General features: G+C 38.9%; 1 protein-coding gene across 12 annotated transcripts in view, besides 1 other annotated feature; it reads right to left on the bottom strand.

The window, feature by feature from the left end:
• Positions 1-18559, bottom strand: part of RAD51B (RAD51 paralog B) — an 863318-nt gene that overhangs the window by 581212 nt on the left and 263547 nt on the right. The window lies entirely within an intron of this gene.
• Positions 15077-15627: an enhancer, noted in NCBI's record as "H3K4me1 hESC enhancer chr14:68552975-68553525 (GRCh37/hg19 assembly coordinates)". NCBI's record gives its function as "activates a minimal SCP1, AML or CMV promoter by ChIP-STARR-seq in primed H9 embryonic stem cells {active_cell/tissue: H9 hESC(primed)}" and the evidence as "EXISTENCE:reporter gene assay evidence [ECO:0000049][PMID:30033119]".

Below are 18559 nucleotides of genomic sequence, written 5' to 3'. Positions count from 1 at the left end.
TCATAAAGAACCTCTGCTAGGGCAGTGCAGAAGGGAAATGTCGGGTTGGAGCCCCCTCAGAGAGTCCCTACTGGGGCACTGCCTGGTGGAGCTGTGAGAAGAGGGCCACTGTCCTCCAGACCTGAGAAAGGCAGATCCACTGACAGCTTGCACCGTGCACCTGGAAAAGCCACAGACACTCAACACCAGCCTGTGAAAACACCTGGGAGGGAGGCTGTACCCTGTAAAGCCACAGGGGTGGAGCTGCCCAAGGCCATGGAAGCCCACCTCTTGCATCAGTGTGACCTAGACATGAGACACGGAGTCAAAGGAGATCATTTCGGAACTTTAAGATTTGACTGTCTTACTGGATTTTGGACTTGCATGGGGCCTGTAGCCCCTTTATTTTAGCCAATTTCTCCCATCTGGAATGGGTGTATTTACCCAATGCCTGTACCCCCACTGTATCTAGGAGTAACTAACTTGTTTTTGATTTTACAGGCTTAGGCAGAAGGGACTTACTTTGTCTCGGATGAGACTTTGGACTTGGACTTTTGAGTTAATGCTGGAATGAGTTAAGACTTTGCCAGACTTTTGGAATGGCATGATTATGTTTTGAAGTATGAGGGCATGAGATTTGGGAAGGGCCAGGGGTGGAATGATAAAGTTTTGGCCGTGCCCCACCCAAATCTTACCTTGAATTACAGTTCCCCTTATCCCCATGTGTCATGAGAGGGACCTGGTGGGAGGTAATTGAATCTTGGAGGTGGTTACAACATGCTGCTGTTCTTGTGATACTGAGTGAGTTGTCACGAGATCTGATGGTTTTATAAGGGGCTTTTCCCCATTTAGCTCATTCTTCTCTCTCCTGCCACCATGTGAAGAAGGACATATTTGCTTCCCCTTCTGCCATGACTGTAAGTTTCCTGAGGCCTCCACAGCCCTGCAGAACTGTGAGTCAATTAAACCTCTTTCCTTTATAAATTACCAGTCTCAGGTATGTCTTCATTAGCAGGTGAGAACAGACTAATAGTGTGGTCAGGATCTGGGTGGAGTTCCTGCATACATATTTGGTAGCTGAATGCCCCTAGGCCAGCAGCAATTTAACACTTTTGGGCTTCACTTTATTTACTCTTTGCAAAATGGGGAAGAGGGCAATGATCTCTAAGGCTCCATATATCTAGAATGTTATGAATTATTTTTAGCCAATTCAATATTCATAGCCCCTTTGAGGTAAGTCAAGCTCAAGTAAAAATTGTTCACGGAGAAAAAAAGAGTAAAGCACAATGGAAGGATGAGAGAACAGGGTCCATACCCAGTAAATAAGGGGTGTCAAGTACTACCTGACCTCAAGGCAACTCACTGCACACTAGACCAGGCCGTAATGAAAGTCCATCAATCTTTACTGAAAAAAATTACAGACTTTGGGCCACGTGCAGTGGCTCATGCTTGTAATCTCAGCACTTTGGGAGGCTGAGACAGGAGGATTGCTTGAGATCAGGAGTTCAAGAGCCTGGGCAACACAGTGAGACCCTGTCTCTAAAAAAATTTAAATAAATAAAATTAGACAGTTTCAAAATCAAACCTCTGTGCAACAGGCCAGAGTTTTTGCATGTTCCACAGGCACATGAGTATCCAATATGACTTATAAAATAGTTTTTAAAGCCACTTTTTTCTAATAAAGAAATTCATATTTGATCAGTTTCCTTCTACCTTCTATAGTTGAGGTCTTTGAAAATATACTTCTATCTTCTTCCTTTCCCATCAAGCTTACCCATGTAGACAGGGACAAACTCTAATTTGTACATTAACAAAGACATGAGGCAAGAGTCTAATCAGGAGAAAAGTCAAAAAGAACTTCCCCCTCCCTTTGAAATTTTAACTCTTGTCCAAACACTCCCTCTCACCCCATACTCCTCTCATAAAATGTGTTTATTTATCTTTGATTCTCCTCAAAGGTGCCTGGAGAAGCCTGTCAAGTGAGCTGCCACCTTCCAGATTTAATCGGTTTTCCTCAGTTGTTCGGCAGTTCTAAATGCAGAAACCAAAAACTCTTCTGCTCGACTGGGCTTTCTCAATACAGGCATTGGCACAGCCCCACACAATTCCATCTAAGCAGAACAACCGCAGCATTAAGTTCCCTCCTATCACAAGGGCCTAGTGTTACTTGGTTGGGTTGTCATTCCACCTGTCAGCTGCCACCAGAAGAAAACGAATTTGCAAATTTACACAGTTTTCTTAGGAATGCTCTTTCTTTTTTTTTCTCTTTGGACTCTACATTCCTGTAGCTCCTATTCTTCAAGGGCACAGGGGCTTACTTAAACATAAAATTTTACAACTTAACTGGAAGGGTGCCCTGCTTGCAAATGGAAAACTGCCACAGAGCAGACTTAACTGCAGCAAGCAGGTGACAGAGCAAGGAACAGGATCCAAAATTATGATTTTTTGTGTGCTACTGAAGTAAAAGAATTTAAGAAGGTTTTACTCAGGGTCATAGGCTGGGTTGGAAGACTGGGAAAAGGAAATCAGTAGTATCTATATCTAATTATGGTGACAGAATTTCACAGACATCTATAACCTAGGTCAAACGTCAAAGACATGAACACCTAAGACACTTTCACACATCCCTGAGCATCATGATTAAATTCAGATAGTTGGGGATCTGTCCCCAGGACCAGTATCCTATTCTGTTAGGGGCCTCTAAATAATAAGACTTTATGTGTTCTCTTCCACAACAAAGAGTAGGAAGTGATTAGCAGCTGGGGAGAACAAAGAGACTTTCCCAAGTTAGGGTTTTTCAACTTCGTTAAACCTAGCAATTAAAGAAAGGAGGAGTTTTGAACTATGACATAATATTGAAAAAGAACAGACTGCATGGTTAAATAATAAACAATGCTGATGTTTAACAACCTTCTCCATTGCTGTCTCCAGAACCCCTAGAACAGAGCCTGGTACATAATAGGAGCACAGAAATGCTGTTCTCTCTGCCCAGAACCACCTCCCCAGCAACACCGCCATGGACACAACTTGTCTCTCATTGCATTCAGGTCTCTGCTCAAAGGCTCCCTCTTTAGATATGCCTTGCTTGAGCATATGCTCTAGAATTTCCTTATCCCTCTTTATTTTCTTCCTAACACTGTGATATGGTTTAGCTCTGTATCCCCACCCAAATCTCATCTTGAATTGTACTCCCATAATTCCCATGTGTTGTGGGAGGGACCTGGTGGGAGATAATCTGAATCCATTGGGGCAGTTTCCCCCATACTGTTCTCATGGTAGTGAATAAGTCTCACGAGATCTGATGGGTTTATCAGGGGTTTCCACTTTTGCATCATCCTCGTTTTTCCTCTTGCCACTGCCATGTAAGAAGTGCCTTTCATCTCCCACCATGGTTCTTAGGCCTCCCGAGCCATGCAGAACTGTAAGTCCAATTAAACCTCTTTTTCTACCCAGTCTCAGGTATGTCTTTATCAGCAGAGTGAAACTGGATTAATATACACATAATGCTACCCAACATTGTATGTCTAATTGCTTACTTTTTAATTGCCTGGGCAGGTACTATTTTGTTCACTATAGTATTGCCAATCTCTTAAACAAAAGCTGGCACATAGTAAGCACTCAATAAAAGTTATGAAAAGAATGAGTGGTTAGAATGGACTATAAGCTACAGACTTATTCTATTCTATATTCAGTCAAACAGCCAATAAACAATCACTGGTTATTCAGGGAATGTTGGATACCATCCAGGAATAAAGAACCTGTGTTGATTAAGAGAAAGCCCCTAGATAAGTAAGTCAGTCATGATAACAGTTTAATATGAAAAGAGTCACGAGACTGTACATAAATGTCTATGAGAACAAGTAGGAAAGACATCTGAATCCGACAGGCAAAGTGAGTAGAGTTCTCCAGGTAAAGCTTCAGTGAGATGTTCTGCAGAATGAACAGCACATGGGAGGAAATGGAGTATGCAGCCACGTGATGATGCAACAAAGTCAGTAAAGAGACATGGTGGGAGGTAAGACCAGAAAGATGCAGGGAACTTAGCATGAAAGGCCTTGGCACTAAACTAAATGAATCCTGGAATGATGTGTGTTTGTATATCATTTTAAGAATGATTTGCATTTTAAGAATAACATTTTGATAACTTTGTAGAACATGAATTAGAAGAGGTCAGAATAAAGGAAGATACGTTTTTCCAGTGGTCTAGACAGAAGCAATGAAATGAAGAAAACTCATCCCTGTATTCATTCATTTCTTCATCTCTTCAATGAAGAATTCTTAGTGTCTCCTTAGGCAAAGTTGTGCAAGGCACTTGGAATAGGTAATAGCAGTGGAAATGGAAAAGAACCTGCTTTAAAGCTGTGAGCAAATGAGTCTGACTGTTGTGTATATGGTTTGGGTGACTAGTTTACTTGGGAGGGAAATAATACGTGAAGTTTCAGATGGTCTGAAGTGTCATTTGAATATCCAGTTAGAGACATCTACTAGGCAACAGACAGAAGAACAAGCAGAAAAAGTCAATCCATTCTATATAAATGTTCAAAAACTTCTACATGGCATGCCTTAGAGACTCCAAATTTCCCTACTCCTATTCTCAGATTAAAAAAAAAACCAAAATAGTTAAATTTCTTTAGGGAGGCAAATGTTTTAATAAAAATTATGAAATTTACACTTTTACTAAAAAATATGAACTTAAGAAAAATACAAATTATAAGGAGACTAATTTTCAGAAAAAATAGCTTTTTATATTGATACTCAACAATTCTAAAATTGTATGAATGCATTCATCAAGAGAGAAATCCATAATAAACAACTGAAAATGTGTAGGAAGTAAAATAAAGGAGAAAAACAAATGAGGAAGATGGATGTATACATGTGATACTTCTAGGAGGAATGAGATTTAACTATCAAGTCAGGAAAGCTTAATTGTCCTTACACATGTTATTTATATATTTGCATCCATCACCAGCATAATGATTTTTGGCAGTTTATGACAATTCATTCATTACTGACAAAATAAATAATTAAGAAAGATGAAATCAAACAGGAACATAGATAAGAAAATAATGCCAGGAGTAAGACTGGCACACACACACACATATCATTTATTCCTTTGCAGCTATTAGAGATGATCTTGCAAATTTGGCTCTAGCCTTCCTGGCAACCAAAGTAAAGAGGAAAATACAATCAAATATAAGATTCATAATAAGCATTTTAAAAACATGAATCGTTGTTTCCTGACCTTGAGATCTGAGAAGAATTTCATCTGTAAGTCCTCTCAAAAACGATGGGATGTGGTGTACTAGGTGGGCTCCTCAATGAAAGCTCAACCACAGAAAGAATACTGAATTTTATTCAGCTGTTTGCTATAACATCCATCATTGAAGGCCAGTGATTTAATATCGAAAAGGAGTAGGAGGAAGGAAGAAAGTACCTCTGCAAGAGGTAAAAGCAGCTGAGTTAAGCACATAGCTCTTGGACGGTACGACTTGGCCTGAAACTAAAATGCAGACAATCCAGAAAAATGGATGGAGAATAAGTCATTCACACAATATTCTATAAATACATTTGGAAACAGACTTTTGAGCAACTGGATAGCAGAGAGTTCGAAGTACTCATCTCTAAAAGGAGCCTGAATACAAATTTTCTATGGTGCAGCTTAAAGGTGTCAATATTCAGCAATAGCTGAACCAAAGAGCAGGGTTAAAATCCTCTTCAAAGATTGAGGAGCGTAATGAAGACATCATACTCTATAAAAATATGGATTTTGTAGAATATCCATGAAAAATATAGGATAGTCAAGTATGAAAAAGATGGGCTTTAGAGTTAGACTTGGCTTCACATTCTGGTTCTGCTACTTATTACTCTATGGCCCTCGAAAAATCACTTAACCTTTCTGAGTCTGTTTCTTTTTTTTTTTTTTTTTTTTTTTTTGAGACGGAGTCTCACTCTGTCACCCAGGCTGGAGAGAGGCACGATCTTGGCTCATGCAAGCTCTGCCTCCCTGGTTCACGCCATTCTCCTGCCTCAGCCTCCCGAGTAGCTGGGACTCCAGGCGCCCGCCACCACGCCTGGCTAATTTTTTTGTATTTTTAGTAGAGATGGTGTTTCACCTTGTTAGCCAGGATGGTCTCCATCTCCTGACCTCGTGATCCGCCCACCTCGGGCTCCCAAAGTGCTGGGATTACAGGCATGAGCCACCGTGCCTGGCTGAGTCTGTTTGTTTTATCTAGAATATGCAGGCTGTAATTAGGCGTAAACAAAGTAAATATAAAGTGCTACTATGGTATTGGGTATGTGAATACCAAAATGAATGGGGATGGGGCAGGGCAGATACCAAGGGAACTAATCAGAAAAATAAAAACAAAAAACAGTATACATGAAATTGAAGGGAGGGAAGTACAAAATCCATATCTGGCAAAGAAAGACTTCTTTTTTTTTCATACCCATAAATACCATGGAGGAAGACTTCTTTATATTGTAACACAATTAAGCATGATCCCAAGAGAGCACAACTTCTATTAATCGGAGTGCATCATACTCTTCAAGAGCACTGGTGGGTTGAAAATAAGTTGAGAATACAGTTCTCAACTAAGACTTTTTTTTTTTAACCCTCTTTCAGTTGCAGGTAATTAGTCAGTGTTCAATGTTTGTTATAAATAGGAAAAACCTACACATCAAATGATAAATGCCAATGAAATAACTCATTCATCTAATTTCTAAGTAACCACTCACATATTGCTTCTGTATATCATCAAATTTTTGATATAGCTAAAAGAACTCTTATGATAAATTACTTAATTATAAACCTATGCTTGCCAGGAAAAGAATTTTAATTTCACAAGCAACATAAAAAATAACCCGAGCCTGCTCTCCATATGAACTACTCAGTCTGCCTTGTGGCAGGTGTATACAAGCACTTAAAAAGAAACATCTGCTTTCCTTCTTACAGAGAGCTTCACCTCAGGAAAAAAACATAAATTCCTGTGTATCACAAAATACTTTAAAAGCTAAGAAGGCATGACCAGATGTAGTCATTTAGGAGAATTTTTCTTCCTTATAGGCATCTTACTCATGATTCAGAACAACTGAAATATTTGATTTCTACTTTTCTTCAATTAACTTTTTCCAGCTTTGCTCATCACTAACCTATTAGGAGGTCATCTCTCCTAAATTATATTCACCCTGACTGTGGGGATAATCATACTCCTCAATTCAGGGTATACTATTATTATCAGTCTGTCCAAGGCCTCTGTTGGCTTATTTTATTTTTTTACCCCCTTTATCACTACTCCCCCATTTCCTCCTAAACCTTCATAAGCAAAAACTTAATTGTCTGGCATCTGTCTTTGGATATGGAGTGTTTCTTTGAAAAATATTAAGTGTTGTTTTACATATATGTGTGTGTGTTTTAAATTTTCATAAATGGCAATATGCTATGAATAGCCTTCTTTTATATTTTTCATTAAATACTCTTTCAAAATGAATCCATGATACAGCATGGCCCTCTAGTGCATACCAAACTATCACACTGTATTTGAGAGTGTGAATGTGCTACCTCAAACGATGCTGATATAACCAAAGGTGACCACAAGATGAATCAAGGCCTGAATGTAAATGTGACTAACAGAAAACAAAACGTCAGAAAATAACTCTGTGGCCCTGGGCCCTAAAATTATAAAGTATAAGATTTTAAAAAGTGATATGTTTGACCAACTCAAAATTAAGATCTACATCAACATGAAATCTTAAATCGTCACAACAATAAAAAGCCAAATAACTAACTAGTAATATAAAGAGGTACTCAATTTCATTAGTAATCAGAGAAATGCAACTTAAAATTAAATACCACTTTACACCCATTAGTTTGGAAAAAAGAGAAAGTCTAAACATATAAAATGTTGGCAAAGAAGTAGGGCAGCAGGAGTGTTCTTACACAACTGGTGGGCTGCAGACTGGTGCAGCCATTCCAGGAAGAAATCTGGCAGGATTTAGTGACCATCAGGGTGTGTATGCTTGATGACCCTACAATCCTACCCCTCAGTACATACCCTGGAGAGTACCAGGATGTTCCTCACATCATTGTTTGCAGTAGCAAGGAGGAAGAGACAATCTACTTTTTTGTAAATGCAATATAGAGGCAAGAGCAAACACATTCAAAAGCTAGCAGAAGGCAAGAAATAACTAAGATCGGAGCAGAACTGAAGGAAATAGAGACACAAAACACCCTTCAAAAAATCAATGAATCCAGGAGCTGGTTTTTTGAAAAGATCAACAAAATTGATAGACCGCTAGCAAGACTAATAAAGAAGAAAAAAGAGATGAATCAAATAGACACAATAAAAAATGATAAAGGGGATATCACCACCGATCCCATAGAAATACAAACTAACATCAGAGAATACTATAAACACCTCTATGCAAATAAACTAGAAAATCTAGAAGAAATGGATAAATTCCTGGACACATACACCCTCCCAAAACTAAACCAGGAAGAAGTTGAATCTCTGAATAGTCCAATAACAGGCTCTGAAATTGAGGCAATAATTAATAGCTTACCAACCAAAAAGAGTCCAGGACCAGATGGATTCACAGCCGAATTCTACCAGAGGTACAAGGAGGAACTGGTACCATTCCTTCTGAAACTATTCCTATCAATAGAAAAAGAGGGAATCCTCCCTAACTCATTTTATGAGGCCAGCATCATCCTGATACCAAAGCCTAGCAGAGACACAACAAAAAAAGAGAATTTTAGACCAATATCCTTGATGAACATTGATGCAAAAATCCTCAATAAAATACTGGCAAACCGAATCCAGCAACACATCAAAAAGCTTATCCACCATGATCAAGTGGGCTTCATCCCTGGGATGCAAGGCTGGTTCAACATACGAAAATCAATAAACGTAATCCAGCATATAAACAGAACCAAAGACAAAAACCACATGATTATCTCAATAGATGCAGAAAAAGCCTTTGACAAAATTCAACGACCCTTCATGCTAAAAATTCTCAAGAAATTAGGTATTGATGGGACGTATCTCAAAATAATAAGAGCTATCTATGACAAACCCACAGCCAATATCATACTGAACGGACAAAAACTGGAAGCATTCCCTTTGAAAACTGGCACAAGACAGGGATGCCCTCTCTCACCACTCCTATTCAACATAGTGTTGGAAGTTCTGGTCAGGGCAATCAGGCAGGAAAAGGAAATAAAGGGTATTCAATTAGGAAAAGGGGAAGTCAAATTGTCCCTGTTTGCAGATGACATGATTGTATATCTAGAAAACCCCATCGTCGCAACCCAAAATCTCCTTAAGCTGATAAGCAACTTCAGCAAAGTCTCAGGATACAAAATCAATGTGCAAAAATCACAAGCATTCTTATACACCAATAACGGACAAACAGAGAGCCAAATCATGAGTGAACTCCCATTCACAATTGCTTCAAAGAGAATAAAATACCTAGGAATCGAACTTACAAGGCATGTGAAGGACCTCTTCAAGGAGAACTACAAACCACTGCTCAATGAAATAAAAGAGGATACAAACAAATGGAAGAACATTCCATGCTGATGGATAGGAAGACTCAATATTGTGAAAATGGCCATACTGCCCAAGGTAATTTATACGTTCAATGCCATCCCCATCAAGCTACCAATGACTTTCTTCACAGAATTGGAAAAAACTACTTTACAGTTCATGTGGAACCAAAAAAGAGCCTGCATTGCCAAGTCAATCCTAAGCCAAAAGAACAAAGCTGGAGGCATCATGCTACCTGACTTCAAACTATACTACAAAGCTACAGTAACCAAAACAGCATGGTACTGGTGCCATAACAGAGATATAGACCGATGGAACAGAACAGAGCCCTGAGAAATAATGCCACATATCTACAACTATCTGATCTTTGACAAACCTGACAAAAACAAGCAATGGGGAAAGGATTCCCTATTTAATAAATGGTGCTGGGAAAACTGGCTAGCTATATGTAGAAAGCTGAAACTGGATCCCTTCCTTACACCTTATACAAAAATTAATTCAAGATGGATTAAAGACTTACATGTTAGACCTAAAACCATAAAAACCCTAGAAGAAAACCTAGGCAATACCATTCAGGACACAGACATGGGCAAGGACTTCATGTCTAACACACCAAAAGCAATGGCCACAAAAGCCAAAATTGACAAATGGGATCTAATTAAACTAAAGAGCTTCTGCACAGCAAAAGAAACTACCATCAGAGTGAACAGGCAACCCACAGAATGGGAGACAATTTTTGCAATCTACTCATCTGACAAAGGGCTAATATCCACAATCTACAATGAACTCAAACAAATTTACAAGAAAAAAATAACCCCATCAAAAAGTGGGTGAAGGATATGAACAGACACTTCTCAAAAGAAGACATTTATGGAGCCAAAAAACACATGAAAAAATGCTCATCATCATTGGCCATCAGAGAAATACAAATCAAAACCACAATGAGATACCATCTCACACCAGTTAGTATGGCGATCATTAAAAAGTCAGGAAACAACAGGTGCTGGAGAGGATATGGAGAAAAAGGAACACTTTTACACTGTTGGTGGGACTGTAAACTAGTTCAACCATTGTGGAAGTCAGTGTGGTGGTTCCTCAGGGATCTAGAACTAGAAATACCATTTGACCCAGCCATCCCATTACTGGGTATATACCCAAAGGATTATAAAACATGCTGCTATAAAGACACATGCAAACGTATGTTTATTGCGGCACTATTCACAATAGCAAAGACTTGGGACCAACCCAAATGTCCAACAATGATAGACTGGATTAAGAAAATGTGGCACATATACGCCATGGAATACTATGCAGCCATAAAAAATGATGAGTTCATGTCCTTTGTAGGGACATGGATGAAGCTGGAAACCATCATTCTCAGCAAACTATCACAAGGACAAAAAACCAAACACCGCATGTTCTCACTCATAGGTGGGAATTGAACAATGAGAACACATGGACACAGGAAGGGGAACATCACACTCTGGGGACTGTTGTGGGGTGGGGGGAGGGGGGAGGGATAGCATTGGGAGATATACCTAATGCTAAATGACAAGTTAATGGTTGCAGCACACCAACATGGCACATGTATACATATGTAACAAACCTGCACGTTGTGCACATGTACCCTAAAACTTAAAGTATAATAATAATAATAATAATAAATAAATAAATAAAATAAATAAAATCATACAGACCCAGACTATGAACATTTTTTAAAATAAAGAGTCTACCATATACTTTCTGTAAAAAATTAGGGTATGTTTGCAAACCTGAAGTACAAACCAAAAATAACATCACACATTTGCACCTGTACATTATTTTACTATAGAATCAAAGTGAACTTTTCTTAAATAACTGAATATTCTCTACAAACCAAGGCCCTAAGTCTCATACAGTCTTAAAAGTATTACTTAAATGTCATAGCAATATGTTTTGAAACCTAAAGAAATTTAGAACAATCTGTTAAAAGCTAATCTTAACCTGTTACTGTAACTATGATGTAAAAATGAAGGATAAGAGAGTTGGATTTTCTAAAGTTATGCTGGTCATTCAATACCAAAAGATCCCTATTTTTATTTGCCCTGTTGCTTTAAAATAAGTATAGTAATCTGTTCCCAAGAGCTAAAGCACATCAATGCTGGAAGATTAACGAGATACGATGCTCTGAGTACTCCAAGCTCTTGATATAAAGGTCTGATGGACTCTATGTTCATGTCAGTGTCTCACTTTAGTAGAGTTCACATGCACACACATGGCTCTAGGGTGCCTAGGTTTTAAATAAGAAAATAATTTGGCCACTCTGGAAAACCAGAAAAAATAACTTGAATTTTTAATATGTAACTCAGTTTTTTATAGCACTTCTAGTTTCCGCTTACTTTCCTAAACTTTATATATAAATCTAAAATAATATAATTTAGGGCATAAAAGCTCACATATATAAATCTAAAATAATATAATTTAGGGCATAAAAGCCCACATATATAAATCTAAAATGATATCATTTAGGGCATAAAAGCCCACAAATATCTGCTGCCTACATCTCTTACAAGAAACTACTATCTTGAAGTGTAATTTAAATACAAAAGGTCTTTTGCCAAAGTCTGCGTTTTCACACACACATAAACATTTACCTGACACTGAGGCTACCAAAAGAACCACATTTAGAGGAAGGGGGAAAGGGGATGGTGGGAGGGCATGTGCAAAATGCAAATCTGGCACTTGGCATGGTCTCAATTTGAGAGGCCCAGGCAGATTGGGATGTATGGCTTTGTTCCATCAAAAGGTCGTTTGAAGCACAGTATTTTATTTTTATAGTAGGGTATTGAGTTCTGAGGTCTCTGATACACCCCAGGGAACCAGCAAAAGCTAGTCTCAACCCTGTGCCAGCCCCCTGCTGGGTCACTAATGAAGATGGAGAACTGTGAGTGCACCCATATAAAACACAGGAAAAGGCGAAAAAGGACTCCGAGCTGGGTCCGTTCCTTTTATTCCAGAGGAGCAACCTTTTCTGTACTTAGAGACTAATGAGTCATGAACAGGAGAGGGGAACAAATCACACAGTACATTACCAGGAGGGACAACACCGTCAGCCTTTGTGTTCAGTAGCTGGTTCAGTTTTCAGAGCATTTCCCAGCAAGGACCAAAAGCAACTTGAACAAAGGAAACAGCAGTTAGATACTTGAACTGTCTCCATTAATACTCCAGAGAATTGGGTGCTTCAAAGTTGGAGTGACTAATGAGAGTGGGGAGAGGATATAGGTAAGGGGGCCCAGGAAAAAAAAATAATGATGGCTTTATATTAAAAGTTCATGAAAAGCAGAAAATGATGAGAAATTTTTTTTAAACTTGTTTTTCAGAGTTGTTATTTTGAAAGTTCTGTCCTTTCTAAGGACATGAGCTCTGATCCCTCCACAGACTTTTAAACGGAGAACAGAAATGAAGCATAAGAAGGTATTTCATTTTCCATCCTCACCACTTAATTAGGAAGGGCATTTAAGGTGTTCAAAGTTTTAATTGCCTTCTCCTCTACCCCAACCTCCTTCTTCAGTTACGCCCATACAGCAACTGAGCCAAAGCCAGACAGACATCTGAAGCTTCTCTCATGCAGGAAAAAACACCAGCACAATTACCCCAGACACCATTTATTTCTCTCCCCCACTTCCTTCATCCCCCGCCACTCTTTCCATCTCAATCTCCCCCCCACCTCTCTCTCTCTGTCTCTCTCTCTCTCTCTGTCTCACACACACGCGCACACACACACACACACACGATCCCATAACACTGCTAGTACACAGAAAGCTTTTCTGGCATAATTGATAGCAGCAAATGCTGCAACATGAGAAAGTTTCCAATAATCTGAAAGAAAGGAAGAAGATGAAAAAAGAGGGAGAAAAAAATGAGGAGTTATTAGACGAAAGAAAGAGAGGTTGAAACAGCTAACTCTCTCTATTAAAAAAACAAAAACCTGAGACACATTCATGGAAAATGACAGCGATCCAAATTGGTCACGGTAAAAAAGTAAGTAAGTAAATTTGATTTATTTCCATATACCTTAAAAAGTCTAGAATTTTATCTCTTTTCTCTCTATTTACTATGATAGCATGCAGGTCAATAAAAGACGTTTTAGTAGGGCCAGGACTGTAACAAAACCTTTGTCCTTACAAAAACTTATACCAAAGACATCACCAATAATAGCTCTTAGATTCATGGAGAAATGAGATCCTTGATTTTGATCTGGAATTCTAACAATAAATTCTAACAATAAGTGCTCACTTAGGGCCCTAGAGTAGTAAATAATAGTTATTATTTTTATTTAAATAATTATATAATTATATATAATAATATATTATATAATTATATATAATAATATATTATATAATTATATATAATAATAAATTATATAATTATATATAATAATAAATTATATAATTATATATAATATATTATATAATTATATAAATAATATATTATATAATTATATAAATAATATATTATATAATTATATATATAATAATTATATAATTAAATATTTAAAAATATTATTTTTAAGTCAATAAAATAATTATTTTAAGTCAATAAAAATACTATCAGTTCTTATTTATTTAATATCAACAATGTAATGGTACATATACATGACCTTCAATTCTAACCATGATGCACATTAGGCATTACCAGGTAATGTTACAGAGAGTAAATGACTCTGTAACATCCTCACAGGATGTTCAAGGCCCCATAGCTCAATCACCGATGGAGCCAGATTTTTTTTCTGGTTCCACAGCGAACTTTCTTTCCGTTAAACCACAGAAGAAAGTGAGCTGTTGTCAACCCTTTAACATTTGAACAGAATGGTTTTCTAAGCATAATACTATAATAATCCAGAGTTTTCTACAATCAGTAATCCATCATATAGACCAGTCAATCATGATGAATCATAATGGGAATGATATCTTTGCTAATTAAGGTAGACTGGCTAGAGGTACTTTGACAATGGGAAAAGTCTCCAGAGGGTCTCAGAACACCCTGCTACTCTGATTATTAGACTAGAATTAGGCCCCAAACCCAAACTTAATCCATAGGTTCAGGGTCCAATTCTGGTATATGCCAGCTACCCAAAATAAAGAGCATTATCAAATTAATGGAATCTCTGGGGATCAGTGGACCCTAGGGAATCAGAAATAGTATGGGCTGTCACAGGCATCTCTCTCTCTCTTTTTTTTTTTTTTGAGATGGCGTTTCACTCTTGTTGCCCAGGTTGGAGTGCAATGGTGCAATCTTGGCTCACTGCAACCTCCACCACCTGGGTTCCAGTGGTTCTCCTGCCTCAGCCTCCCGAGTAGCTGAGATTACAGGCATGCACCACCACACCCAGCTAATTTTGTATTTTTAGTAGAGATGAGGTTTCATCATGTTGGTCAGGCTGGTCTCGAACTCCTGACCTCAGGTGATCCACCCACCTTGGCCTCCCAAAGTGCTGGGATGACAGTCATGAGCCACCGCGCCTGGCCCCAGGCATCTTTTAATGCCTGCCATTCTGAACTTTCAGGAAACCCCAGAAGTATTATTCCCTCAAGAAGCCCCCAATATTAGAAATTAATCCTAACAGAATATGCCTTTCTCATCACCAATAACATCCCTTGACTTTGGAGGGTATCCATCCTAAGATTAATTCTCCCTGTGCTTTGGATTCATCCCATCTCAAGTTGCCCCATTTTCTCCACTCTCGTATCAACCTCTATCCTTGACTCCTTATCAGCATTTAAATATACTCAAGCCCACATGCCCTCCCTGCATCCCATACAGAAAGGGGGCAGGGAAGTGATGGGAAGGGGAGCGCGTGGTCCCTGGCGAGGGCTCTACCCCCAGACCTGGGCCCACAGGCCTAGGTGAGTATAGGCACTTCTGCCTTGGTGCCCAAATGTTGTATTTCCCAATACAGCCCTGGCCCATCACGCCCCCCATCCTGTGCCTATAAAAACCCCGAGACCCTAGCAGGCGGACACATGGTGGCTGGACGTTGAGAGGAGCACACGAGCCGAGGAACACACGGGCAGCTGGACAGCGAGAGGAACGCACTAATAGGCACCAGCACACCGGCAAGCCAACAACGCGGAGTTTGGCTGGGGCAGTCGTTGGAGAGCCCCGGCCTCTGGGCGGCCCAACTCCAGGGGAAAAACTTCCCACTCCATTCCCCTTCTGGCTTCCCCCATCTGCTGAGAGCTACCTCCACTCAAAACCTTGCGCTCATTCTCCAAGCCCACGAGTGATTCAATTATTCCATTACACCAAGGCAAGAACTCCAGGATACAGAAAGCCCTCTGTCCTTGAGATAAGGAAGGGAGTCTAACTGAGCTAACAGAAGCCGCCTACAGACGGCAAAACTAAAAGAGCACTCTGTGACACACGCCCACTGGGGCTTCAGCTGTAAACATTCACCCCTAGACGCTGCCATGGGGTCAGAGCCCTACAGCCTGCCCATCTAGCCTCCCCTAGAGGTTTGAGCAGCAGGACACTGAAGAAGCGAGCCACTCCCCACTGTGGCACGCCCTGCAAGGGGGACAAGGGAACTTTTCCCATTTCAATACCACCTTCACATACCATCTTCAGTCTCTTCTTTGTAGCCAGAATGCATGAAAGTATGACCTCCCACCTCCCATGATCCTATCCAATCACCTCCCACTTAACTCTTTAACCAAATTTACTGAACTCCTGAAACTACCAGACTACCAAAAAGGCTTCTAAAAGGCCACTGATGCTTTTTAGTTACAAAATCCAATGGCTTTTTTAATTTAAACAATCTTTTTGTATTTTACTTGAACTCTTAGCTGAATTCAGAACCATAAAACACTCCCTTCTTTTTCAAACTCTCTCTTCCTTTGGCTTCCTTAACTATACACTCCTGATTTTCCTCATACTTCTCCAGTCCCTCCTCTCTTCAGTCCCTTGAAAAAGCTGCTCATAAGGTTGCTATACTAGGCCCTCTTCTCTATGCATTCTCCTTGGATAATGTTATCTACTTCCTTGATTTCAATTAAACTAGCTATATACCCTGAAGAACACCCAATCTATACATCCAGCCTAAATCTCTCTGTGTCTCTAGAAATGCAGACACTGTCTAAAGAACAGGAGGTACAATAAGGAACAAAACAGACACAATCCATTTATTTCCCAAGTTCACTGTCTAACTCTTCCTTGTGGATGTCTCAAAGGCAGCTCCAATTGGAAATGTCAAAAGCTGAAGTCAATTATCTGCTCCTATTCCAAAAGAAAGGACAGTTTTTCCTACTCTAGTCCTCATCTTAATGAAAGCCTGGAAATTATTCTTGACGCCTTCCTTTCTCCAGTTAATCACCAAATCCTAATGTTTTACCTTCTAAATATCTCTGTATAAAATTTCTTATAATTCCACTGTCACTACCAAAACCCAGGCAACCATCATTTCTCACCAATGTTATAGCTAGCAGCTTCTTAACTGGTCTACCATCAGACTTATTATCCACGGATTTTTTTTAACATACTGCCATAAGACACACACAGCAGCGTACAAGTCATCAGTATTGAGGCAGGCATATATATAGCAGGGGTTCAATATATTTTTGTTGAATGAATGAATCAATCAACCAACCAACCAATCCAGACTCCAAGGGTTACCTTTGCTGTTTCTTCAAAAATTTCCCCCAAATTGAGCAGTGGTCTTTGGAAAACAAAATATTACCCCAACATTTATGCCTTTGTTTTGCTCTGCTCCTCATGATTACAAATATTGGGGAAGTGCATCAGACTGATGAAAGCTGTTCAGGATCCATATTTAAACTCCAGTTGTGTAGGACCACCATGTATGTCCACAGCAGTTGTTCTGAACTGGGGACAATTTTGTCCCCCAAGGGAGTGCTGCTACTGGCATCTAGTGGGTAGAAGTCAGAGATGCTGCTAAATATCCTACAATGTACAGAACAGCCCCCAGTGACAAGGAATTATCTAGTACAAAATGTCCATAGTGCCCCAGAGGTCTATAGTTTCAAAAACAAGGCACTACCAAAAGCACTATTTCAAAATGTCACAGGATTAGGATGTTACAACAAGACAATAAACCTGTTAACTTCCTCTGTAAAATGAGATATGACACTTTCCATTTTCTAGGGTAAAAGTTAATGGGTTTCTCAGATTTTAAAAAACAGAGATAAAGTTTAAATAATGCCTTAGTGTTCCAACTTTAGGAATTTAAAAAATATTTACAACAAGTTCTAATAAGATTTATTAATTTCTTTACTGAAGGCTTCATTTTCTGCTCACTCCCAACAAAAATAAACACAATACTAAAATACCCCAACATGCACACACGTACACACTCAATGTCTTATCATTGCTTCTTACAGCTTTGGGAAACAAAAAGATTGTTTCTTTCTCACGTTCCCTCTCTGTCTTTTTCACTCTCTTTATTTAACCAACCATAATGTTGGTTATCGAGTTGTAGAGTAAGTTAATATAGTTCATAATGTAGTTATGGAGTAAGTTTTATTGTCGCTTGTACTTGTTAATGTGTTCCCATTCTCAAGATAAAAAATAAATAAGCAGAACTCTTCATGTTTCTCTCAGAAAACAAAAAAAATGCCAAAAACCTAAATTAATATGATTTACTTGCATGAATGGCAACTTACTTTTTTTCTATCAAGAAATATGAAATATTCTCCATTTTTATCTTTAATAAGTAACCACCAAACCAATGCTAATATATATCAGTTCTAATGGCTTTTTTCTACTAATTTTCTTTCCTAGATATCACGTTTTTAAGTATTGTACAATTTTCTGCACAACATCAGAGTAGGCTAAGAAACCAGCAGTTATGATACAACGAGCGCAAAATTTAGGGGAAAAGAATACTCCAGTGATCGAGTATCAAAACCTCCATTGCTTGCTGTGACAATATTCCTTTTTTGTGCTCCAGGCAATATCATCAAGATTTAGAGTAATCTGACATAAGTCAACAAACCTACTCAATGACTTTGTTGTGTGATTATTGCATCCAGTTACTACCT

This window comes from Homo sapiens, chromosome 14, assembly GCF_000001405.40.
Source record: "Homo sapiens chromosome 14, GRCh38.p14 Primary Assembly".
Classification (NCBI taxonomy): Eukaryota; Metazoa; Chordata; class Mammalia; order Primates; family Hominidae; genus Homo; species Homo sapiens.
This window is presented reverse-complemented; position numbering and strand designations above follow the sequence as displayed.